At 36.3% G+C, this 27639-nt stretch overlaps 1 long non-coding RNA gene across 3 annotated transcripts; it reads right to left on the bottom strand.

Annotated features, from left to right (window-relative positions):
* Nucleotides 1–18129: 18129 nt before the first annotated feature.
* LOC105373282 (uncharacterized) lies at nucleotides 18130–27268 on the bottom strand. 3 transcript variants are annotated; one of them, XR_938451.4, is made up of 4 exons: nucleotides 24381–27268; nucleotides 23744–23817; nucleotides 23076–23289; nucleotides 18130–21479 (listed from the first exon to the last, which is right to left on the bottom strand). It is a non-coding gene; the product is annotated as an uncharacterized LOC105373282 (long non-coding RNA). The 3 variants fall into 3 exon arrangements; XR_001755905.3 differs by having other exon boundaries at nucleotides 20356–21479; nucleotides 23076–23230; XR_007068275.1 differs by having other exon boundaries at nucleotides 23076–24591.
* Between the last annotated feature and the right edge of the window lie 371 nt (nucleotides 27269–27639).

The raw sequence follows: 27639 nt of genomic DNA, 5'->3' as shown, positions 1-27639 counted from the left end.
AAATTCCCAGAAGCATACCACTTACCAAGATTAAACCTCAAAGAAATAAAATCTGAGCAGACTAATTAACAAGTAAGGAGATCAAATCAGTAATCAAAACTTCCGAATGTTTATTGCTATAAACTTTCCTCTTAGAACTGCTTTTACTGTGTCTTATCTAATTTAGTATGTTGTGCTTTCCTTTTCATTTGTCTCAACAATTTTAAAAGTTATTTTAAAATTTCTACATTGACCCACTGTTTGTTTATTGGCATGTTGTTTAATTTTTATGTATTCATAGTTTCTGCTGTTTCTCCTGTTTAGTTTTATACCACTGTGATAAAAAATACTCGATTTATTTTTATCATAAATTTTTTAAGACTGGTTTTGTGGTATAACATATAAGCTGTCCTGCAAAATGTTTCATGTGCAGTTGAGAATAATGTGTATTCATCATCTTTTCAATGGAATGTTCTGGATATGTCAAATTCATTTGGTCTATATTGCAGTTTAATTCCCTTGATTCATTTTGATTTTCTGTGTAGATGATCTGCCCACTGATGAAGGTGGGGTGTTGAAGTTCCCTACTATTGTTGTATTGCAGTGTCTCTCTCCTTTTAGATCTATTAATATTTGTTTTATACATTTAGGTGCTCCAATATTAGGTGTGTGTATATCTATGATTATCATAACTTCTTGCTGAATTGACCCATTTGATTACATAATAAATTTTTCGTCTCTTTTACAGCCCTTGATTTAAGATATATTTTATCTGACATAAGTAGAGCTAAACCTGCTCTTTTTTGATTTTCATTTGCATAGAATACCTTTATTCATCTGTTTACTTTTATTCTATGGGTGTCCTTACAGGTGAAGATAGTCTCTTATAGGCAGCATATAGTTGTACCTTGTCTTTTATTGATTCAATTACCCTACATCTTTTGATTGAATAATTCAAACCATTTGCATTCAAATTAATTATTGATACATGTGGACTTATTACTACCATTTTTGTGATTGTTTTCTAGTTGTTTTGTAGAACCTTTGTTGCCTTTTTTCTCGATTAATGGCTTTCTTTGTGGTTAAGTCATTTTCCTAGCAGTATGCTTTGATTTCTTGCTTTTTATTTTTAGTGTATCTCTTATACATTTTCACTTTGTGTTCACCACGGCTTACCAAAAGCATCTTATTAGTTATAACAGTTTATTTTAAACGAAAAACCTAAACTTTGGTAACAAAATAAAGGAGAAAAACTCCACTTTAACACCACTCCCCCCAGTTTGAACTTTTTAGGTCACAATTTAAATTTTTATATCAAACCTTCATTAACAAGTTGTTGTCATAATTATTGTTTTAGAGTATTCAGAATTTGATGATGTACCAGTTATATACTTTCTGATATTTTTGTGCTGCACGTTAGTGTCCTCTACTTTTATCTTGATAAACACCATTTAGAATTTCTTCTAAGACAGTCGGTGGTATTAAATTACTTTGACTTTTGTTTGTGTGGAAAAGTATGTTTGCTTTTTTCTGAAAAAAAATTTTGCTGGGTATAGCGTTACTACTTGACAGGATTGTTGTTGTTGTTACCACTTTGAATATATTATCCCACTCCCTCTTGGGGAGAAAATGGACTCTGCTGAGAAGTCTTCTGCTAGGCATGATGGGACTCTCTTTTGTGTTATTTGCTCCTTTTCTCTTGCTGATTTTAGGATCCTTTCTTTGTCTTTGATATTTGGCATTTTGATTATAATATGTTGCAAGTAGTCTTATTAAAATTAAATCTGATTGGAGACTTTCAACCTTTCTGTACCTAGATATTTATGTATTTCTACAGGTTTTAAAATTTTTCTGTTATTATTTCTTCAAATATGCTATGTACCCTTTTGCCTTTCTCTACTTCTTAAGCATAGTGACCCATTTACTTGATTCTTTGATTTTGTTCCACTAATTCCTCAAGCTTTCTTTATTTCTTTTAATTATTTCTTTTAATCTGACTGTATATTTTCAATAAGCCTGTCTTTGAGTTCACAGATTCTTTTTTCTGATTAATCAGTTCTGCTGTTGTTGCTCTCTATGGCATTTACATTTAAATTTATGGTATTTTTCAGCTCCAGAATTTGTTTGATTTTTTATTATTTCAATCTCTGTTATATTTTTCTCATAAATTTCTCAATTGTTTCTCTGTATTTTATTAATGTTAGCTGAGCTTTCTTAAAACAGCTATTTTGAATTCTATTTCAAACTGTTCTTTCATTGTCTTCTTTTTAGTGTCAGTCACTGGCATCTTCTCTGTTTGGGGATGTCATGTTCTCCTGATTGATCTTAATTATTGTGGCCATGCATTCATGTCTGCAAATTGTTTCAGATACCTAATTTAGTCTGTGCAGTCCGTCTTTGTTTGGGAACATCCTTCAGCAGTAAGCCTGTCCAGAGATTCAGTGAAGTTTACTGGTTAGGTCTGTAAGCCCATTACCACTTTAGCTGTTGAGGTGTTAAGGGGCCCCATAAACCCAGGAGAGCCACAGTTAGACTCCTTTGGCTATCAAGGTAGACACAGCACTAAATTTCCTCTAAAGCCCCCAGCTGCCAAGACCAGTGGAGCACTGGGGTATGCCCAAGGCCTGTAACTGCTACAGTCTTCCCACTGCTGGGGTTTATGCTAGGCTCAAGTTTGTTGTAGTCAGCTGGTGATGAAATGGATCCTTAGTGCATCTTGTTAAAGCTATGGGTTTCTTTCTGGTGCTGGAGTAGATCTAGAGGGTCTGCTCACAGGTACCATCCTAGTGAGATATGAGGTTCTGCCCAGTGATAGGTTTCACTGTGGCAGGCCCAGTACTGGGTTACAAGGCAAAGTCCCACATTCACCTTCTTATTCTTTCTCAAGCAAATGGTGTCTCTCTCCGTGTTGTGCTGCCTGTGCTTGGGGGAGTGGTGATGTGGACAACCTCATGGTTGCTGATGCAGTGTGGGATCACATCAGGAACTCACTGCCACTGAGACCAGCACAGCACCAGGACATGCATATGTGAATGTAAAAGTATCTAAGACAAGTCTCAGTCAATTTAGAAAGTTTATTTTGCCAAGATCAAGGATGCACCCATGAGACAGCCTTAGGAAGTCCTGATGACATGTGCCCAAGGTGGTCAGAGCACAGCTTGGTTATATACATTTTAGGTAGACATGAAATATCAATCAATATCTGTAAGATGTACATTGGTTCAGTCTGGAAATGCAGGACAACTCAAAGCAGGGGCCTTTCAGGTCATAGGTAGATATGAGACAAAGGGTTCTATTCTTTGGGTCTGTAATGAGACACTTATTGAAAACACAATTTACATTTACATGTGATGGGGGTAGAGGAATAGTCACTTAGGCCTTAGATTGGCTTAATGAATCTGTTGTATTTTTACATAAATAGCAGTGCAGAGGAAGCAATCAGATACGCCTTTGTCTCAGGTAAGCAGAGGGGTGACTGAGTTCTGTCTGTCCTTTGTTCTGCACCTGTGAAGATAAGCTAACAATCTACATTGCCAGGGTGAAATTCAACAAAACTGTTTTCGGGTAAAGATCTTGAGGCCCACAAAAACTCCCTTGTGGACAGTGAAGGAGTTATGTAGCTTTTTAAAATGTTTGCAGCTATCTTATTTAGGAATAAAATGGGAGGGATATTTGCCTAACACAGTTCCAAGCTTGACTTTTCCCTTTGGCTTAGTGATTTAGGGGTCCTGAGAATTATTTTTCTTTCACATTCCCTCTCTTTTTTTCTTAAAATCTTTCAGAGAAAAATTTTTAGAAAAAAAAGTGATTCTCTGGTCTCAGGATTTTTCTGATCTCTCATGGCTAGGATGCTTTATTCCTAGAGGAATAGGTCCCATATTATTAGGAAAGCTCATTTTTTTCACAAGTTGTGAAGTCTCACATCCTACAAAGAGAAAATAGAGAAAGGAAGAGAAAAATCCTAACAAACAAACAAAGATGTTGTTTGAACAACACCTTGAACAACCTCAAAAAATCAATATAGGCCATATTACTCTGAAGTTTATACATTAGTAGGAAGGTAGGAAGGTGGTTTGTCTATGTTAATAGGTTGCTGTTATTTTCTTCTGAAGTTTAAGTAGTCTAGTTTCAGTTCACAGAATGCTATGAAAGTACAATTTATTTTTTTGTTATTTTAAATAAAAAAATGGTGGAAATAAAGGAAAGAAGGAAAAAATTGAAAACATTATTTTTGGAGACATAGACAGGAAAATTTTAGAATTCAGTCTAAACTGTAGAAAATAACAAAAATAAAAAAGGGCAAGAATAAAATCTGATAGGTGTTACTATTTTTTATTTTGAAATATAATTTTTCTCTCTTTGAGCCCCGTTTTCACTAAAGACATATCATGGAACAGATTTACTTGTAAAATAAGTGTTGGTCATATTATGCTTTGCCTAAATATTTGCATAAATTCAGCAAGAATAATTATCTGCCATATAGGCTTTTTTAACAATTGTATTTATTTTTTATTTTTCTACTTTCTGGTTTTTATTTCAATAACTTTTGGGGTGCAAGTGGCTTTTTGTTACATGAATGAATTATATAGTGGTGAATTCTGACATTGTAGTGTATCCTTCACCCAAGTATCTAATATGTAGTTTTTTTTTGCCCCTAGTCCCCTTTACACCTTTCCCCACTTCTAGGTCTCCAAAATTCATTATATCATTCTGTATGCATTTGAATACTTATAGCTTACCTCCACTTATAAGTGAGAACAAATACTTTTTGATTTTCTACTCCTGTGTTACTTCACTTAGAACAATCACCTTTAGCTCCATTCAAGTTGCTACAAAGGACATTATGTCATTCCTTTTAATGGCTGAGTAGTAGTATATGGTGCATATATGCCACATTTTCTTTTTTCATTCATTTGTTGATGGACACTAAGGTTGGTTCCACATCTTTGCAATTATAAATTGTACTGCTATAAACATATGTTTGCCTGTGTCTTTTTCATATAATAATCTTATTTTCTGTAGGGTGGATTCCCAGTATTGGGATTGCTGGGTTGGATGGTAGATATACTTTCAGCTCTTTAAGGAATCTCCATACTGTTTTCCATACAGGCTGTACTAATTTACATTCCCACAAGCAGTGTATAAGCATTCCCTTCTCCCCACATCCACACCAACATCTATTGTTTTTTGACTTTTTAATAATGGTAATTCTTGCAGGAGTAAGGTGGTATCTGTCTCATTGTAGTTTTAATTTGCATTTCTCTGATGATTAGTAGCATTTTTTCATAGGTTTGTTGGGCATTTGTATACCTTCTTTTGATAAATGTCTGTTTATGTCCTTTGACCACTTTTTTAATGGGATTATTTTTTTTTCTTGGTGATTTGTTTAAATTTTTGCAGATTCTGGATACTAGTCCTTTGTCAGATGCATAGTTTGCAAAAATTTTCTTCCATTCTGCAGGTTGTCTGTTTACTCTGTTGATTACTTCTTTTACTGCGCAGAAAGAAGCTTTTTAGTTTAATTAGGTCTCATTCATTTATTTTTGTTTGTGTTGCATTTGCTTTTAGGGTCTAAGTTATGAATTATTTGCCTAGGCTGATGTCTAGAAGAGGTTTTTCAACCTTCATTTCTAGAGTTTTTTTAGTTTCAGGTCTTATATTAAAGTATTTGATCCATCTTGAGCTGGTTTTTTATATGGTGAGAGATAAGGATTCAGTTTCATTCTTCTACATGTGGCTTGCCAGTTTTCCCAGCACCATTTATTAAATAGGGTGTCCATTCCCCAATTTATGTTTTTGTTTACTTTGTTAAAGATCAGTTGTCTGCATATATTCAGCTTTATTTCTGGGTTCTCTATTCTGTTCCATTGCTCTATGTGCCTACTTTTATACTAGTACCATGTTGTTTTGGTAACTATAGCCTTGTTGTATACTTTAAAGTGGGGTAATGTCATGCCTCCAGATTTGTTCTTTTTGCTTAAGATTGCTTTGGCTATCTGGGCTCTTTTTTAGTTCCATACGAATTTTAGGAATTTCCTTTCTAATTATCTGAAAAATGACGGTATTTTGATGGCAATTACATTGAATCTGGAGATTGTTTTGGGCAGTGTGATCATTTTCACAATATTGATTCTTCCAATCCATGAACATGGGCTGTGTTTTCATTTGTTTGTGTCATCTGTGATTTCTTTCAGCAGTGTTTTGTAGTTCTCCTTTTAGAAATCTTCTACTTCTTTGGTTATGTATATTGCTAGGTATTTTATTTTTGTGCAGCTGTTGTAAAGGGGATTGAATTCTTGGGTTGTTTCTCAGCTTGGTCTTTGTTGGTATATAGCAGTGTTACTAATTTGTTTACATTGATTTTGTAACCGGAAACTACTGAGTTTGTTTATCAAATATAAGAGTCTTTTGCAGGAGTATTTAGGATTTTCTAGGTATGCAATCATATTATCTGCAAATAGTAATGGTTTGACTTCCTCTCTTCCAATTTTGATGCCGTTAATTTTTTATTGCTTGCCTAATTGGTCTGGCTTATTGTACTTCCCAAACTATGTTGAATAGGTGTGGAGAAAGTGGACATCTTTGCCTTGTTCCTATTGTCAGGGGGAATGCTTTCAACTTTTCCCCATTCAGTATAATGTTGATTGTGGGTTTGTCATATATGGCTTTTATTACTTTCATGTAGGTCTCTTCTATCCTAGTTACTTGAGAGATTTTATTATAAAGGGGTGCTGGGTTTTGTTGAATGCTTTTCTGCATCTATTGAGATGATCATATGGTTTTTGGTTTTACTCCTGTTTATATGTTTGTATCACATTTATTACTTGAACACATTAAAACATCCGTACATCCTAGGGATAAAACCCACTTGATCATAATGAATTATCTTTTTGATGTGCTATTGAATTCAATTGGCTAGTATTTTGTTGAAGATTTTTGCACCTATGTTCACCAGGAAAATTGGTCTGTAGTTTTCTTTTTTGTTGTGTCCTTTTCTGGTTTGGTATCAGAGTGATACTACCTTCATGGAATAATTTAGGAAGGATTCCTTCTTTCTCAATCTTTAGGAATACTTTCAGGAGGTTTGGTGCCAAGACATCTTTGAATGTCTGGTGGAATGCCACCATGAATTTATCCAGTCCTGGGCCTTTTGGTTGTTGGCAATTTTAAATTACTGATTCGATCTCAATGCTTGTTATTGGTCTGTTCAAGGTTTCTATTTCTTCCTAATTTAATCCAGGAATGTATTCATCTTTATAAATTTTATTTTAGGTTCTGGGATATAAGTGCTGAATGTGCAGGTTTGTTACATAGGTATACATGTGCCATGGTGGTTTGCTGCACCTATCAATCCATCATGTAGGTTTTAAGCCCCACATGCTTTAGGTATTTGTCCTAATGCTCTCCCTCCCCTTGACCGCCAACCCCCAACAGGCCCTGGTGTGTGATGTTCTTCTCCCTGTGTCCATGTGTTCTCAGTGTTCAACTCCCACTTATGAGCGAGATTATATGGTGTTTGGCTTTCTCTTCCTGTGTTAGTTTGCTGAGAATGATGGCTTCCAGCCTCATCCATGTCCCTGCAAAGGACATGAACTCATTATTTTTATGGCTGTATAGTATTCCATGGTGTATATATGCTAGATTTACTAGTTTGTTTGCATAAAGGTGTTCATAGTAGTCTTGAACGATCCTTTGTCTTTCTGTGGTGTGAGTTTTAATGTCTTCAGTTTTATTTCTAATTTAGCTTATTTGCATCTTCTCTCTTCTTGGTTAATCTAGCTAATAGTCTACCAATTTTGTTTATTTTTTCAAAGAACCAGATTTTCGTTTTATCGATCTTTTGCAATTTTTGTTTGAATTTTATTTAGTTCTGTTCTGATCTTTATTTCTTTCCTTATTCTAGTTTTAAGTCTAGTTTGTTCTTGTTTATATAGTTCCTTGAAGTATGACATTAGGTTTCAATTTGTGCTTTTTCAGACTTTTTGATGTAGGCATTTAGTGCTATAAACTTCTCTCTTAGTAATTATTTTGCTGTATCCCAGAGGTTTTGATAACAACTGTCATTATTATTCAATTCAAAATTTTTTTTTAAATTTTCATTACAATTTTATTGTTAACCCAGATATTATTCAGGACCAGATTATTTAATTTCTATGAATTTGTATAGTTTTGAGAGTTCCTTTTGGAGTTGATTTCTAGTTTTATTCTGCTGTGGTCTGAGAAGATGCTTGATATGATATTGATTTTTTTAAGTTATTAAGACTTGTTTCATGGTCTATTATATTGTCTATCTGGGAGAATGTTCCATGTACTGATAAGAAGAATGTATATTCTGCAGTTGTTGAGAAGAATGTTCTGTAAATATCTGATAAGTCCATTAATTCTAGCATGTCATTTAAGTTCATTATTTCTCTCTTGACTTTTTCAAACATCTGTCTAGTGCTTTCAGTGGTGTATTGAGTTTCACTATTATTGTTTTGCTGTCTATTTCATGTCTTAGGTCTAGTAGTAATTGTTTTATGAATCTAGGAGTTCCAGTTTTGGTGCATCTAAATTTAAAAATGCAGTATCCTCTTGCTGAATTGTTCCTTTTATCATATATAGTAACCATATCTGTCTTTTTCATTGTTGTTGCTTTGAAGTCTGTTCTGTCTGATATAAGAGTAGCTACTCATGTTTGCTTTTGGTTTCCATTTACATGGAATCTTTTTTCACCCTTTTTCCTTGAGTTTATATAAATCCTTTCATATGAGGTGAGTCTCTTGAAGGTAGTAGATATTTGGATTTTAATTTTTTTTATTATGATGGCATTCTGTGGAGCATTTAGGCCATTTACATTCAATGTTAATATTGAGATGTGAGATGCTGTTCTCTTCATCATGTTAATTGCTACCTAGTTATTTTATTGTGTTATTTTATAGGTCCTGTGAGTTTTAAGCCTTCAAGGTATTCTATTTTATAGCATAACGTGCTATTGTTTCAAGGTTTAGAACTTTTTTAAAGCATTTTTTGTAGTTCTGGTTTGGTAGTGACAAGTTCCCTCAGCATTTGTTTTCTCAAAGTGAATTTATTTCTCCTTCATTTATGAAACTTAGTTTTACAGGATACAAAATTATTGGCTGATAATTGTTCTATTTGAGGAAGTTGAGGATAAGACCCTAATGCCTTCTGGCTTGTAAGATTTCTGCTGCGAAGTCTGCTGACATCTGATGGGGTTTCCTTTGTAGGTTACCTGATGCTTTTATCTTACTGCTCTTAGTATTATTTCTGTCATGTTGACTTTAGAAAGCCTGATGACTATATGCCTTGGAGAAAATCTTTCTGCAATACTTTTTTTGGGAATTCTTTGAAATTTTTGTACTTGGATATGTAATTCTTTATCCAGGACAGGGACTTTTTTTTTTTCAATTATTTCTTCAAATAAGTTTTTCAGACCTATTATTTTCTCTTCTCCCTCATGAATGCTAATAATTCTTAGGTTTGTCCATTTTACATAATCCCATATTTCTTGGTGATTTTGTTCATTTCTTTTTATTTTTTGTCATATTTGTTTGATTAGGTTATTTCAAAACCTTTTCTTCAAGCTCTAAATTTCTTTCTTCTACTTGTTCTAGTATATTTTTTAAAACTTTCCACTGCATTTTGTAGTTCCCTCAGTGTATGGCTAAATCCATTTTAACAGTGGACTTAGTGTGTCCTCAGTGTATCTTTTATTTCCAGAAGTTTTTATTGAATTTTCTCAATGATATCTATCTTTCCAGAAAATTTTTCATTTATACCCTGAATTACTTTTTAAAATTCTTTATGATAGTTTTCATCTTTCTCTGATATCTCCTGTAGTAGCTTCATAATTTACCTTCTGAATTTCTTATCTGATATTTCAAAGATTTCCTCTTGGTTTGAGTCCATTGCTGGAGAGCTAGTGTAATTTTTTGTGGGAGTTATAGCACTCTGTTTTGTCATTTTACCAGAGTTATTTTTCTGGTTTCTTCTCATGTGGATAGACTATTTCTTCTAATTATTCTTGAATGTATGTTTTATTTTACTGTGCTTATTTTGTTTGTTTTTAAATTTTTTTCTTTAAGAATGAGATTGTAATGCTTGTAGATAATTATAGTCTAATGTGGTTCTTGGTTTTTTCACTGAAGAAGAGTCTGTAAGAGTTTCATCATTATAGAAAATCTTTGTATGTTGGCTCTCACATATGCTGGCTTTAGTAGCAATGTGTTTGGTGCATAAGCAAGTTCACTATTTCCTATGGAGTTGGAATGGTAGAGGTCCTCATGATGTGTACTTTTTATGTATTTATTTCCCCCATGGTGTATAATTTTCATTTAACTATTTTTCCCATTTAACTAGCTATATATAAATTTGTTATATTTAACTAATTTATTTACTAGTTTGATGGTTTAGGCTTCAGGCCAGTAGGGGAGTTGTCCCTGGCCTGAACCAGTTGTAGCTAAAGCAAGTGGGTTAATGAGGTTCTGGCCTTGACAGAGGTGGCTGAAGGAGCTCTCAGTGAGTTGTACAAAGGTTTTATCAAGGAGAAGGGTTGGAGCCATGTCAGCTCCCCTGCCAGGTTAGCAGGAAAGTTATCTGTCTCTCAGACACACTGCTGTTGCCGTGCTTTGGCTACTCAGATTATACAGGCACCACTTTTCATCTGTAGGAATGTTGATGTTACAAATACAAAGGAATTGTGACTCTGCACCTCATCGAAGCCTGAGCCTAGAGGGAGCTCCTCCTGTGAGGATGCAGTCACCCTGACGTGTTCCAGAAAGGCTGTTTATAGTTGCACCCATGCCAGGCTTCCACGGGAGAAGCCCCAACTGTGCCTACAGTGATAAGGGGGGAAAGACTTCATCTTCTTCAAAACCCTTAATGTATACCAGGGATGGCTGACTTGAGGGACTGGGCTGAAGACTTACCCTGCTAAGCCCAGCACTGTACCTGTGTGCCTCTGCAGAAAGAAGCTTCTTACCATCAGAAGAATCTGGCACTCAAGGCCTGCCATCCAGATTCTTTTGTCTTTCAGGATGTTCTCTTGATGTAGTGCACTCCCCCTTCCCCTAGGCTTGAGAGTCGCTGGGAGCCAGACTACTGTGAGTGTTGTTGCTCCTCTGGGTCAGGTGCCCAGTGAAGTTGCCACACTCCAGGCTGGTATTCTGGAATGCCTGCAAGGGATCCAATGATGTGATCTCTGCACAAGTTTTCCAGCAGTGGGTAGCAGCTCTTATGGGTGGGGGGGTGGCAAGGGAGTGACACAGACTCTGTGAATTTCCTCGGTTATTGATAGCCACAGTGTGTTGGCTTTCTTGAAGGTTGGTTATAGTAATAAGGAACCGGTCACTTGGACATATTCAGAACCTCCTGGCTAGCCAGAGTGGTGCAGGCAGTGGTGATAGCTGAGATCACACAGCCATTTTCTCCGTTCTGGGTGCAGTGTTATTCTATCAGGAGATACTGTAATAAATTATGCTGGTTGGCCTTTAGCCAGGAGGTGGTGCTTGGAAAAGAGAACCAGCTTCAGTGGTAGCAGTGAGATGTTTGTTCTCCTTATGTTGTCTGGCAGGATGGAGGTTACTCTTTTTCTCAGGCAATGGGCAGGGCTATATAGCTCCCAAGAGATTCTGCCTTTTGTGTTAAGCTACCAAGGTGGGTGGCAGGGCAAAGCCAAGTCAGAGCTAGGTCAGGTGTGTTTGTGTTCTGAGTCTCCAAATACAGGGCAAGCAGTAGCCCCTGTGGGTACTGGGGGATTGAAGTAGGTTTCAGGATACTTGGTTGATGTTCCAGAGGAAAGCATCACTGCCTCTGCTGCACAGTAGAGTTGGTGTAGGAAGTGGGGAGTAGCAGGTGGTGGTAAGCCCCACACAGTTCTCACACACTTGGAGAGGCAGATCCACTCCACAATGTTCTACTGGCAGCAGCGAGCTGAGTTCCAGTTAGCCTATAATCTGAATTTGAAACTGCCAACTTTCCCTGCAGAGCTAGAAACCACAGCTTTCAGGCCACGCACCTCCATGTCACCTGCAAAGCTTGCACCTGGCTTTTGTACCTGAGCTCTTGCATTTGGAACTCCCACATTCTTCCCAACCCCAGCTCTGGTGAAAGGAGTTTGACCCCACCTGAGGTTATATTGTAAAACTCCATTGGGAGTTTCTTTAAACCTGGGATACTGCCTGAACTTTTCGGTTGCCCTCTGCACGGTCTCCTATGAGGGACAGTAAGGAAAGACTGTCCTCAGTTTGTGCCAAAATCTGAGAATGCATGGAAGGGTCTTTCTTTAACTGCTCCTACTTTTATATTTCACAACCCTCCCCAAGTTTGTTCTTGTGCTCGATGGGGTTAGTACCTTCCCTGGTGGCCTGGACTTTTAGGCTCCGCAGTAGGGTTGTGTATCCTGGGGGTGAATTCTTTCCCTCTCACACTCCGGGGACTCACAGCCCTTCGACTGAGTCACAGTGCATGCTGTAGACTCCTGCTTCTTTCAAAGGGTCTGTGTTTTCCTTCAGTTTTCTTATTCAGTTCCTGCGTTACTTCTTGAGGAAAAGTTCACAATGTGATTTGTTATACACTATTTTGTCCTTCCAAGTGGGAGAGATATGATATAAATTTTTTTAATCAACCATCTTGAAAAATAAATAAATAAATAAATAAATAAATAAATAAATAAATAAATTTATATAGGCTTTTAAAACATTGGTTTTACTGGACCTTTATTCCATAAAGAATAAAGTTAACCCCACTAAACACAGGAACAAATTTGGGGAGAGTTGAGAAATATAAAAGTGAGAGAAGCAACGGGAAGACATTTGCACGCACTCTCAGATTCCAGCACAAACTGAAGGAAGTAATTCCTTGAAATCTAGCCCTCAGATTAGACTTTAAAGCCTTGAGCCCAGCCACAGATTTATCTGTGCCTACAAATACCTGAATTAATTGGGTGCATTCCTCACCCTGAAGTCCTAAGATAATTTAGGGCCCCTAGGTCAGTTAGAAAGTAACATTCTGTACTTACAACAGGTAAGGAACCCTGTACAGGGACTGCAAGGACAATGTAGGAGACAGGTTTTCCCAAGGGTCTTTCATTGGCTACATAAGTGAACTTTGATTTCTTAAAGCAGTCCGAAAGTATGCCATGCTAGTCAAAGCTTTGGTAAAATAAGTAGTGTTTCCAATAGTGTCCTGTTACAAAAGAAAACTGATTCTTATTAAACTTATGCAAATAACTATATTGGCATCAATTAAGTATACTTACAAATAGTTTTCATATTCTGGAGAAATCAAGTAGAGAGAAAAAAAATGTTCCAACTTTGCTCACAGGAGTGTATTTTACCTAATTGTTAAAAGCTGTAAATAGCTCAAAAGAAAAATCATTTTATGGACTGAGAAAAAAAAAGAATTAACAATGTTTCAAACACAATCATAAAAGGATTATTTCAATCTTTCACATGTTCAGTCTATGTAATTAACTCCTGATCTACTTGATGTTTATGAACACATTAGCTGTCTATGAGTCTTGGAAGATTTTCCTCTATTTTAGTGTCATAACCTCCAAAATTTCAGATGTCTGCATTCAAGAGCACCTGTCAGAGTTTTAAATCTCATTTTATATAAACCACCTATTTTTATCCTTTGAAAAGGAAAAAATAAAACAGCTGTGAATGACAAGAGTCTTAGAACATTCATGGTTAAAGACACAAATAACAAGAAAATTTGATTACTTCTGTGGCATACAACAATTTTATAATAATCATAATTACTATGGATAATATATACTAAGATATCAGAATCACAGGAATCTCAAACAATTTTGAAATGCATACTAAATTCACATTTATATAAATACAATTCAAAGAAGGTTAAACACCATTTCATATTTGATAATACTTCTTGTATGAATTTTTACATCAAATAAGCTGAATATATCCTTTTTGGACTTCAAGGGGCCTAATATCAAAAAAATCATGAAGACTGAAGTTAGAATTTGATTTTGGAAAGTTTGTGAAGTGTAAAAATTTCAAAATCCTGGATATTACAATAGGATAGCAGGTCATTGTAAAATAAGTCATTCATTTAGCCAAAGTGATAACTCAAATATTTCAAAAAGAACACTTATTCTTTGAGAGAGGAGATTTAATTTCCTCCCAAAAAGCCCTAATACAGATAGCATGAGGCCAATTAAATCTATCTCTCAAAATTTCATAAACAACTCAATTAAGTTTTAATCATCCTGACCATAAGATATAATTTCCATAAACCTTTTTTAAGCTATAGAATTCTTTTTATTCTGAAGTGGGTTAATGCTCATAGAAAACCTTATTAATCTGACACAGGGGCCCAGATGCTTGTCTTTAATCAGTGTGCCTTGAATATTATTGGTTAATTTGTAGAAAAACTGAACTAATTTTAATCTCTCAAAATCAGCCCTTGTAATCTCATATGCCCACCTCTTACATGATAGTCTGTGGACGTTGAGTAATTGAATAGTTTTAATTTCTGGCCTTGTGTCTCATGAATGCCATTTATTTTGATATTTTAGCTGCTGTCAGTGTTTAAGATTTAACATGACTTGGTATCCTTTTTAGACCCAAGAGTCAAAGCCCTGTAACTAAATGGTACAATAACTTTAAAAGCAAATACAGAAAGTTATATGTATATAATAGCCTCAATTAACAAACAATAATCTCACTTCTTTCTAAGCAAATCACAACTTAATAACAGTGATATAAGAATCATTTTGATGAAATGTAAAATCTGTTTGTTAGGTCAGTTACCAAAATGTACTTTTGCAGTGAGATTGCTATTCCCTATAGGAAGTCCATTAGGTTTGACTGGCAAGCCAAATCTAATGGAAAGGGTACTTGTATTAGTTAGACATAGAAAGAGTGTTTCCTGGTAATGAGTAAAAATTTTTGGATTCACAAAACAATTTAAAGCCAAGAGCACAGAATGTTATATCAGAAGAAAACATTTCTTTTAAACCTTTAAGATAAAACATTTTTAGCATCAGATAACAACAAACAGTTAGAACCTGAGGGTAGAAAACAGCAGGAGCTGAAAATGAGTTGAAGGACAGAGTTAGTATCTTAGGCCTTTTCAAAGGGGAGAGAAAGCTGTAAACAGTGAGATACAATAAAAGTTGAACTTTGAGTTAAAAGAAATTAAAATATCTTGTAATTTTATTAAGAATAGATTAATACTTTAAGAAAACTTTGTTCTAGCCAATTCTTTAGTGTATAAATGTTTTTTAAATATCAATACCCAATCTCTAGAATGACATTGTGAATAATTTCCCTTTAATTACAGACAACTTGATCACATAAAGTTTTCTTTGTTATAAATCTTCTTTGTACAAACTTTATTACAACTTACACAGACAATTCCTGACATGCTTGGACATTCTGGGTTGTCCTCAACATCCCTTTTCCGTAAATAACTGGTCATTTTATTCTAGGACAAAAATGTACTATAAAAGATTCTTTCTCATATAAAATTGTATTATTTTATCTTTCTTGCCAAAACACCTCTTTATACTTATAACATTCTTTTCATTGGTCTTATTTACTGTTTACTTTCACATCATTTCATAAATAACTTTTAAATAACTTTTGAATTTATGAAAATTATTTTCTTGTAAATATGAACGTATATTTTAGAAAATGTTTTTCTATATTTTTTTGAAAAAAGAAAATGAAAAAGACATTCAATTAGTATCTGTCATTTAACTTAATATAACTTTGGATTCTAAATTATATGACAAGTTTATTTACAAGCATTTATTTCATTACATTTACCTAATTAATTTTTAAAATAGTTTACCCAGATTACTTATGAAAACTCTGATAGTTATCATGTAAGATTATATTCCTGTTAATTACTTTTGTAGTCTGTGAATTTCAGGTTTTCCTGAGTAAGAACCTTAAGATTAGATAAGTGGGTTTGTTTTTGTTTTGCCAATAACTCAAGATTTGGCTGTTTTCCATAAACAAACAATATTAAATACTAATTTATCAATTTTTACACAAATAAAGATAATTATCTTTTGGTCTGCATTCATGGTTTTATAACCCTCTTGCCCAATTTTTACATCTAGCAAAGAGAAATATAAAACCATTTGACCAATAAATCTAAACAGTAATGTATGTTGACAATTCTGAAGCCATTTCTAATTCAATTTTACCAATACTTTTATAACCAGCTTATCATTAAAGATTTACTTAAATCACATGACCTTGAAAAGCTTTTGGCTTAGAGTCTCTATTTTATTCTGACAAAGCATTTGACTAAAAGACTTTTTTTTCTTTAAGCCAATTAATTAGAGTTCTAAAATATAGTTTTAGTAGTGAAACATTATATATGACACATAAATACATACGCATATTAGACATGCAGATAAAAGTAGATTTTATAGATTCATAAAACTCTTTCTTCTTCTTATTTTAGACTTCCAATTTCTTGATAACCTGTTTCATTATCCTAGGCAGTTGTCAGCTAGATAGCCCTAAATTTGCACATTAAAGGAACTCTTAGGTGAAAAATCAGATGGCAAAATTTACATCTCAAAGTACAGAGTCTCCTGTGCTAGAGGGAGATTAAAAATGGATGCCGAATCAGACATAAAATTATAGAAATCTATCACAGAATTGTATAAGGGACCAATTTTATTTAGATACATAGTTCTAAATTTAGTCTCTATCTTTTATCTGGACCTCTGACCTCTGGGCTAAGTCCACACTGAATCCTGGATCTCCAAAAAGAGAGAATTATCCTCAGGTTAGACCACATGATGCTTTTACAATGTACTTTTTTTTTTCAACAAAGACATTTCTCTAAGTGTCTAAAGTACATTCTTTCTTTCTTATTTTAAGTACCCAAGAGAAGTCTCTGTTGTAATAACTATTTTAGTAAAAATAAATCAGGTAACAATGCAAAAACAAGCAGTTTAAAATCTGAGAGGAATTTGTCTGTTTACATTTTTGGGGTTCCATAATGAAAAACAGAGGTTTCTCCCCAGAATGGAGTTTGGCACCTTCTCTATTTTCTTTAAGAAATCCCAGGCTGTTAGAAACTACTTTAGGTCCCTCATGCAGCAGAGGGTAGCAAGACAAAGGAGAGAAAGTCAACAGTAAATGGAGAAAACAGAATTCAGTCGACCCTAAAGGATTAAAAAAAAAAAAAACCCTTTTCTCAAAAAAGAACAATGTCCTATGAGGAAAAAAAAAGCATAAAGACTGTAAAAAAATTTAAAAAAACATACACAGCCCTTGTATATTAGCTTTTAATTAAGCTGCCTTTTAACCGTTGAACTCCTTTTAAAAAGTCATTTTAGGCCGGGTGTGGTGGTTCTCACCTGTAATCCCAGATCTTCGGGAGGCCAAAGTGGGTGAATCACTTGAGGTCAGGAGTTTGAGACCAGCCTGGCTAACATAGTGAAACCCCATCTCTACTAAAAATACAAAAATTAGCTGGGTGTGGTGGTGTGTGTTTGTCATCTCAGCTACTCGAGAGGATGAGGCATGAAAATCACTTGAATCCAGGAGGCAGAGGCTGTAGTGAGCCCAGATTGCTCCACTGCACTACGGCCTGGGTAACAGACTAAGACTCTGTCTCAAAAAAAAAAAAAAAATTAAAATCCCATTACCATATTTTAGCTGGGATAAATTGCTGATATTTCAAAAGTAATATAAATATAAATCCAGAAAGGACTTGATTTAGAAACCAAACCCAGGATGTGATGGTGGAAAAAAGGGGCAGAACCTTAGGAACAGAACTGCATCTTAGAGCAGGCAACAGCCATTGCCCTTTCAGTTTGGCTTGGCTAATGAAACGGTGGCCTTGTCATGTACATAAAGCCTTCTAGGTAGTCAAAATCTTTCATTTATCTTCTTTTTGCTGGTCATTTTCTCTTTTCCTTTTTTATTATCAGTTGCAAGAATTATGCCAATTCAGAAGGCTTGTTCCCCATAATTTGGAAATCTCGTTTGGATTTGACCAAGCTGAATAAAGTTGGTCAAACCCAGTAGGACAAAGACTGAAACCACAACAGAAACAGAAACAAACAGCAACAAAAAAGTTAAGCAAAACAAATGATTGCACATTTTATAGGATTACTGAGCATCCTAATAATAAGGGAAAACTAAAACCAGCTCATTGTCAATTTTAACTTTTAATATTTAAGAAGAATTTCCAAGACAAAAACCCAAATTTAGCTACATAGCTAGTGTGTCCAGAATTGGTTCCTTCTGGTGGATTCTTGGTCTTGCTGACTTCAAGAATGAAGCCACGGACCCTTGTGGTTAGTGTTACAGTTCTTAAAGATAGTGTGTCCAGAGTTTGTTCCTTCAGATGTTCAGATGTGTCTGGAGCTTCTTCCTTCCAGTGGGTTTGTGGTCTCACTTGACTTCAGGAGTGAAGCCCCAGACTTTCTCAGTGAGTGTTACAGCTCTTAAAGGTGGCGCGTCCAGAGTTGTTTGTTCCTCCTTGTGGGTTCGTGGTCTCGCTGACTTCAGGGGTGAAGCCGCAGACCTTCACAGTGAGTGTTACAGCTCTTAAAGTTGGTGCGTTGGGAGTTGTTTGTTCCTCCCAGTGGGTGCGTGGTGTCACTGACTTCAGGAGTGAAGCTGCAGACCTTCGCAGTGAGTGTTACAGCTCATAAAGGTAGTGTGGACCCAAAGAGTGAGCAGTAGCAAGATTTATTGTGAAGAGCGAGAGAACAAAGCTTCCACGGCATGGAAGGGGACCCCAGCGGGTTGCCACTGCTGGCTTGGGTGGCCAACTTTTATTCCCTTATTTGGCCCTGCCCATGTCCTGCTGATTGGTCCATCTTATGGAGTGCTGATTGGTCCATTTTACAGAGTGTTGATTGGTGCATTTACAAACCTTTAGCTAGACACAGAGCTCTGATTGGTGCATTTTTACAGAGTGCTGATTGGTGCATTTACAAATCTTTAGCTAGACACAGAGTGCTGATTGGTGCATTTACAAACCTTTAGCTAGACACAGAGTGCTGATTGGTGTGTTTACAATCCTTTAGCTAGACAGAAAAGTTCTCCAAGTCCCCACCCGACCCAGAAGCCCAGTGGGCTTCACCTCTCTTAGGAATGAGGCCTTGGCTCAAGACTTCTCTCTATCATCTTAGAAGCAGGGAACAAAAGCTTCAAACTTGCCTTTCCTGTTGGAAACTAACTGAAACTCCAGAAAGAAGTTACCTGCTCTACATTATCATGGAAGCGGGAAAACTTGCCTTCCTTGTTGGAAGGAATTAAAACTCTAAAAAAGTAGTTGTAAAGCAAAATAAACTTTACATCTCAACCAAATTTTGAGAGATTAGGGATTCTCTAGAAGTCGGGAGCTCCCAGGGCTCAGCAAATTGTCCTACTGGTTTGAGTCATAAGGATAACTAAAACGGGTACCAAGCTCAAATAGGAGATTTGTGAAAGATCAAGGGAACCTCCCCTCAGAATTCCTTTATGGTAATGGATTTGTAAACTCAAAACTATCTGAGACAGGTCTCAATCAGTTTAGAAAGTTTATTTTTCCAAAGTTAAGGATGTACCTGTGACACAGCCTCAGGAGATCTTGAAGACACATGCCTAAGGTGGTCAGAGCATAGTTTGATTTTATACATTTTAGGGAGACATGAGACATCAATCAATATGTATAAGCTGTACGTTTGTTCTGTCCTGAAAGGCAGTGCAACTGAAAGTTGGATAAGAGATAAATGGTTGTAAGGCCGAGGCGGGCGGATCACGAGGTCAGGAGATCGAGACCATCCTGGCTAGCATGGTGAAACCCCGTCTGTACTAAAAATACAAAAAATTAGCCGGGCGTGGTGGCGGGCGCCTGTAGTCCCAGCTACTCGGGAGGCTGAGGCAGGAGAATGGCGTGAACCCGGGAGGCGGAGCTTGCAGTGAGCCGATATCGCGCCACTGCACTCCAGCCTGGGCAACAGAGCGAGACTCCGTCTCAAAAAAAAAAAAAAAGAGATAAATGGTTGTATTCTTTTGAGTCTCTCATTAGCTTTTCACTGAATACTGTGATTAGCCTTTCATTAAATACAAAATTTACATATGAGGTGGCATAGAGGAAAGTGACTTATGCTTTGGACAGGCCTAGTGAATCTGCATTTCTTTTTGGCTTTTTTTTATTATACTTTAAGTGCTGGGGTACATGTGCCGAATGTGCAGATTTGTTACCTAGGTATACACATGCCATGGTGATTTGCTGCAACCATCAAACCATCATCTACATTAGGTATTTTTCCCAATACTATCCCTCCCCTAGCCCCCACCCTCCACTAGGCTCTGGTGGGATGTTCCCCTCCCTGTGTCCATGTGTTCTCATTGTTCAACTCCCACTTATGAGTGAGAACATGCAGTGTTTGGTTTTCTGTTCTTGTGTTACTTTGCTGAGGATGATGGTTTCCAGCTTCACCCATGTCCCTGCACAGGACATGAACTCATCCTTTTTATGGCTGCATAGTATTCCATGGCATATCTGTGCCACATTTTCTTTATCCAGTCTATCATTGATGAGAATTTGAGTTGGTTCCAAGTCTTTGCTACTGTGAACAGTGCCACAATAAACATACGTGTGCATGTGTCTTTATAGTAGAATGATTTATAATCCTTTGGGTATATACCCAGAAATAGGATTGCTGGGTCAAATGGTATTTCTAGTTCTAGATCCTTGAGAAATTGCCACACTGTCTTCCACAATGGTTGAACTAATTTACACTCCCAGTAACAGTGTAAAAGCGTTCTTATCCCTCCACATCCTCACCAGCATCTGTTGTTTCCTGACTTTTTAATGATCACCATTCTAACTGGTGTAAGATGGTATCTCATTGTGGTTTTGATTTGCATTTCTCTAATGACCAGTGATGATGAGCTTTTTTTCATATGTTTGTTGGCTGCATAAATGTTTTATTTTGAGAAGTGTCTGTTCATATCCTTTGCCCACTTTTTGATGGGGTTGTTTTTTTCTTGTAAGTTTGTTTAAGTTCTTTGTAGATTCTGGATATTAGCTCTTTGTCAGATGGATATATTGCAACAATTTTCTCCCATTCTGTAGGTTGCCTGTTCATTCTGGTGATAGTTTCCTCTGCTGTGCAGAAGCTGTTTAGTTTAATTAGATCCCAATGGATTCCCTATTTAATAAATGGTGTTGGGAAATCTGGCTAGCCCTATACAGAAAGCTGAAACTGGATCCCTTCCTTACACCGTATACAAAAATTAACTCTAGATGGATTAAAGACTTAAATGTAAGACCTAAAACCATAAAAACCCTAGAAGAAAACCTAGGCAATATCATTCAGGACATAGGCATGGGCAACAACTTCATGACTAAAACACCAAAAGCAATGGCAACAAAAGCCAAAATAGACAAATGAATCAGCATTCTTGCATAAACAATAGGGCCAAAGAAGCAATTAGATATGCACTTTTTCTCAGGTGAGCAGAGGGTTGACTGAGTTCTGTCTGTCCTTTGTCCTGCACCTGTGAAGATAAGTTATTAATTTTCATTGCCAGGGTGAAATGCAACAGAACTGTTTTAGGGTAAAGCTCTTGAGGACCATGATAAATTCCCTTGTGAACAAATTGTGAAGGAGGTATGTAGCTTCTTTTTTTATATCTTTGTAGCTATCCTATTTAGGAATAAAATGTACTGCAGGTTTGCCTAACACAGTTCCGAACTGGACTTTTCCCTTTGGCTTAGTGATTTTGACGTCTGGAGACTTGTTTTTCTTTCACACCTAGGGCTGGCCCATAGCAACTACAGCCTGCCCACCACGGAGTTTTATTTAGGATTCAAGGCTACTATAGTTTGCAAGTGGTAATGTGGGCCAGAAGTTTAGTCTATTCCACCAGGGCCATGTGTGCCCTTCTGGCAACAGGGCATGCCTAAGGTCCATGGCAGCTATGGCATACCTTTTGATGAGTTTAATTCAGAGCCCAAGACTACTGTAGTTTGCCAGCAGTGATGCAAGCCAGAACTCAAATGCATTCTGCCAGGGCCACAGGCTTATATTTGTCTCTGGTGCACACCTAAAACTCTGCAAAAGCTATGGACTGCCTGCTGCTGAGGTTTATTTGGGTCTCAAGGCAGCTGGAGTTGGCTGGCAGTGCTATGGGCCAGAACTTCAGTCACTCCTGCTGGGATTGTTGGTTCTTGTCTGGCACCATGCCAGGTGTAGAGGTTCTGTTCAGGGTATTGGCCTAGTGTTAGGGTGTGGCAGGCCAGGTCTCACTAACACAGACCTCCTTAACAACTGTTTCAGTACTGACTGAGTGATTAAGTTAAATATTAAAAGCCAGTGCCCTCAAGCTCAACAAGAGTTTTGCCGAGGCCTTTCCTGGGCATTAAAGCATGACAAAATAATGAAAGAATTCTTAACAGGACCCATTTAGGACTAAACAAGTTTCATTGTTGGACTTAAGAAACTCCCCAGGCCTCCACAACAAGTTAATTGGGGATCTGAAGGCACTCCCCAAACTCCCCAAACTTCCATGATTCAGCAGGAGACAAGATAAGGGTAATCAACCCAGCACCTGCACCCATTTAGATTAAGTAAATTTACTGAGGCTTCAGAGGAAGGTCTTCAGGACGCAGACTATAGTTATAGATTAAAAGAAGTTAAACACTTCTTTAGATGAATGAATACTTACACATAGACATATAGCTCAGAAGGTATATAAGCTCCTGAAAACTCTCTAATTTTGAGTTGGTCTGGCGATAATTTCCAGGCCTTCTCCCTGTAACCGGTTGCAGAAATGAAAACTCTTCCTCTGCAGTTCATTTGCATCTCTTTACTGGGCCACAAGAAATAGGAGTCCGACCCTCAGTTTGGTCTGGGAACAAGGGGACATGGGGTTCTGCCTGGTGCTGGGCTTTTTTGTGGCAGACCTGGCACTGGATTCCAAGGCAAAGTCTTATGTTTACTTCTCTCTCCTTCAGCAAATGGTGTCTCTCTTAGTGCTGTGCTGTCTGAGGTTGGGGGAGGGGTGATGTAGGTAATGTAAAAGTTTCCTGTCCACCCTCTTCAATGCATCTTTTAAATTATTATGCTAAAACCAGGTGTAGTAATTTCTTACCTGGTTTCCTGAGTCTTACGAAGATTTGTTTCATGTGTGGATAGTTGTTCAAATTGATGTTTCTATTGAGGGATGGTCGCTGGAGAGTCTTTCTCTGCCATCTTATTCTGCCTGTCTTCTCTTGCTTCACCAACTGACTTCAGCAGGCTCAGACCCTGGATAAAATTCAGTGGCAGGCAGACTGCAGCTGCTGTATGCCTTAGGATGTCTTCCTCTGTAAGTTAGGGCTTACAATAGTATCTGACTCTGAGCATTGTTGTGGGAATTAAATAAGATGTATGTAAAGTAATTACCACATTGCCTGGTATAAAGTTATTGCTTGATTTACATTAATTGTTATTATTATGAGGTCATTATGGTGGTGGTAGTAGTAGTAGTTTCTTTATTGTCATTATAATAGTAGTAGTACCAGAAGTAAAAGTAGAAATAATAGTATAGTGGTAGAAAAATAGATAAGAGTTGTCTTTTTTTGTTTACTTTATACTCATTGCTATCTACTCTGATATTCCTGAAACTGTCAAATTCTATGTCAGTGAAATATCTTTCACTTTCTTATAAATAAGGAAAAGGGAAATAAATACCCATCAGCAGAGCAAATAGTTCTGTTCCCCCAGAGATAGTAAAAAATAATATTTACTTTAATTTTAATGTTATAACTGTATATTCACATTTTGGTTCTTTTCATCTTGTCTTGATCTTTTTTTTCTTTTGATCAGATATGATATCCTCTGACATATACAGCCTAGAAGGGTAAAATACACAAAACAGTATTAAAAGTAGAGGGGTAAGGCAAGTCTTATTGTTTTTACTTCAAAACAATTTTATAAACCTAGTTGGTATCCTTTAAACCTATCTATATCTTTTAAGTTCTTTAGCTTCTTTATAAATTTGTCAATAAATTTTAAAAATGTATCTGATATTGAATTGATGGAATTTCTATGTTTTTATCTCATTACTCCATTGCTAGCCTCATATATATACACACACACACTTATATGATGTATATACATATATGATATATACATATATAATACATATATATATAATACATACACTCACATATTGTGAAAGGAAAATAAATCTTGGGGGCCCCAGATCACTAAGCTAAAGGGAAAAGTCAAGCTGGAAACTGCTTATGGCCAACCTGACTCCTATTCTGTTCAAAGTCGCCCCTCCGCTCACTGAGATAAATGCACATCTGATTGCCTCCTTTGGAGAGGCTAATCAGAAACCCAAAGTAATGCAACCATCTGTCTCTTATCTACCTATGACCTGGAAGCCCCCTCCCCCTTTGAGTCTTCTCACCTTTGCTTCGTGTTATCCCGTCTTTCCAGACCGAACCAATGTTCATCTTGCATATGTTGATTGATGTCTCATGTCTCCCTAGAATGTATAAAACCAAACCGTGCTCCTACCACCTTGGGAAGGCACATGTTGTTAGGACCACCTGAGGCTGTGTCACGGGCGCGCGTCCTCAACCTTGGCAAAATAAACTTTCTAATTTAAATGAGACCTGTCTCAGATTTTTGGGTTTCACAATGTATACATCCATATATATGATATATGAGACACATAAATCATATATATGATATATATCAAATATATACACATATAGATCATATATAAACATATATACACATATATGTGTGTGCATATATATATGGCTAGCAATGGAGTGATGAGACGGAAACCATAGAAATTCCATCAATTTTATACACACACACACACACACACACACACACACACACACACACACACACACACACAGTTTGCTAGCCTCATATACATATGCAAACATTGGCCGCTAGAGGGAAGCAAAAGATCAGAACAAACAGAAACATGCCAGCTACAGAGAATCAATTTTCTGTGAGCAATTGAAAAAAATACTTCTTGACAAACTGTTTTGGTCATGAGGAAAAGATGCTGGACTGGCCTGAAGCACAGCAGAGAGTGGATCCCATCTCAGGAACATAAATAAAACTTCTGTAACTCAAAGTGTCTGGAATAGATGAAACAAGGAATTGAGCAATGTAGTTCATGGTTTTAAGAAGCAAACAGAAGACAGACTGAAGAAATACAGTCCCAGCCCAAATTAGGTTATTAATCATGTTACTAAAGTCAGAGCTAAGGCCGTAGTGAAACACAAGTACAGATGAGAAAAGAATGGAATCAGGACAGAGATGAGGGAGTAAATAAATCACTAGGGCATGCAATGTTCTTCCAATACAGTATGAGATAATTCCATCTGTTTTCAATGCAACATCATTTTATAAGTGACCCCTAGGTAGATACAGTTTAAAGAATGCAGCAGCCAGGGAATTCTAGGCAATTTGGCATTCCTCTGTTCTCAGGTTCATGCATGGGAAATAGTGAAATCATTAGTGTCTTTTTTTTAATCTATGAGGAAGATGAACAATATTGAAGTGGGATGCTAATCTTACATTTCTTATATTTTATTCTATTAATATCTACTTTCCAGTAACCAAGATAGTGTACTTGATTCCAACAGTACCAGGGACATAAAACTGCAAAGCCAGTTTATATAAGAAAAGATTATGTGCAGTGTCACAGGTGAGAAGTAGGTAATGCAAGTGGAACCCATAATTGACATGAAAGAGGGCTTATAGCAGACATTGCTCAAATTGAGGGATTTTTGGCTGCCAGAAACCACATCCTTCCTAATAACATTTCAGTTTACTTTTGGGAATTTACTACTTCTTCATTATGTGTAGTATTGGCACAGTGATAAATCCCTGTGCCCATCTTCCACTGTTCCATTTCATAACTCCGCCTATAGGGCTGAGAGGATCAGGAGGTTGGACACATGATCTAATTGCAGCCAATCAAAAACCCTTTCCCTGGACTTTAAATATTGAATAAAGTATTAAAGTCAGGATACATACTTTGACATATCTATTACAATAGCAGCTGTGGTGGTGATGGCAGAAAAACTGACAAGCCAGCAATATCTATTAAATGGGTGGGCCCTTCTAAAAGACAGTAGCTGTGTTTTTTGTGTGTGTGTCCTACTCCTCGCTCTCATAGATCCTCCTGATCTTCTACCCTTTTATCACTTCTGTGAGCCCTCAGTATCGCTTACTAAATTTGTTTTTACTTAACTTGTTAGAGTTGGTTTCAGGTGTTTGTCACTAAGAGGCCTAATTAATACAAGAATGTTTGGAATTGAAGTATATAAGACATTACTATATGTAAATTCAGGTGTGGAAATATAAGACATTTATGATGTTGGTAACAGAGGACATAATAAGCAAAGTCTTCGTTTTATGTTTCTGTGATTACTATGTGGAATTCACTCACTATTTGTGGGTGAATAAGAAAGAGAAGATGATACTTCACAATATATGGCTTCACAGGCTATACACTATGAAACTCCTTAGGAATCATTTACATAAACTAAAATAGAGATTGGGATCCCTAGAATTGCACAATATGGTGATTATAATGAAAAGGCAACACATAGTTACAAAAACACAAGCAACCCGCACTCCTAATAATGCCATCTAATTCGCACATCTATAAAAATTAAAAGACGTCTTGAATGGGTAACTGCCAATAGGGAATGAGGATGTCTGTCATCATTAACATGTTGAAACAACATAAAGATGACACCGTAGTATGAAATTCAGGTTATTCTGCAGCTAAGCTCGGAAATACAAGCATCTATCAACATTGAGAGAAGGCATAAACTTTGAAAATAGTACCAAAACTTCTTCAAGTTTGCCTAGGCACTGAGTAAGTCAGTCAGTGTATTTTGCACTTTGGTCTAAGACCTGGATTTATTAAATGTTATGGAACAGTGTTTTTCAAAACCTTATATCAAGTATTATACATTATAAAGTTAATATTCCTTGCATGAGGTGATGTATATGCTAAAATATATGTATTACATGTGAAAGGCAAACACTAACAGGAAAATAGAGGTTTCATTTGACAGAAAATGTCATTTATACGTAGGATTTTTTGCCTGCTTAAGTGAATCACTGAAAAACAAACCTAAAGCTTCCTAAAAATTTTAACAAGTAATATATAGTAGAGACCTCCTGAAAATAAAAATATAAGATAACATTTTATATTAAGGCTTGTGACAGCAATAAAATGTCCAGATAAACTATTCTAGCAAAGACAAACTGAAAGAGCTTGAGTTTCTAATAAACACAAACTTTGGAGCCTAACAGAAATATATTTAAATTGTTTTTCTGCCTTTTATTAGTTATGCAAATTTGAGAAATATTTTTAGATTATTTGGGCCCAATTTCTTTATCTATAGAAAATAATATAATAATAGTACTCTCTTCATAAGATAATTGAGATGATTAAATGAGACAATTTATGTATAACACTTGCCAAATTTTCTGGAACATGGTAAATGCCCACTTGTTGCTAAAAACTACTATGGCATTATATAATTCATTTAACAATTATTTATTGAATGCCCATTGTGTACCAGGTAATGTACACAATAGACTAAAGCAAGGCTCTTATGGAACTTACAACCTAGTGAAAGATGCAGATATTTATTTACCTGATTATCCTGAAACTGCAA

Source organism: Homo sapiens, chromosome X (genome assembly GCF_000001405.40).
Source record: "Homo sapiens chromosome X, GRCh38.p14 Primary Assembly".
Classification (NCBI taxonomy): Eukaryota; Metazoa; Chordata; class Mammalia; order Primates; family Hominidae; genus Homo; species Homo sapiens.
Note: the sequence above shows the minus strand (reverse complement) of the source record. Positions and strands in the feature narration are given on the sequence as shown.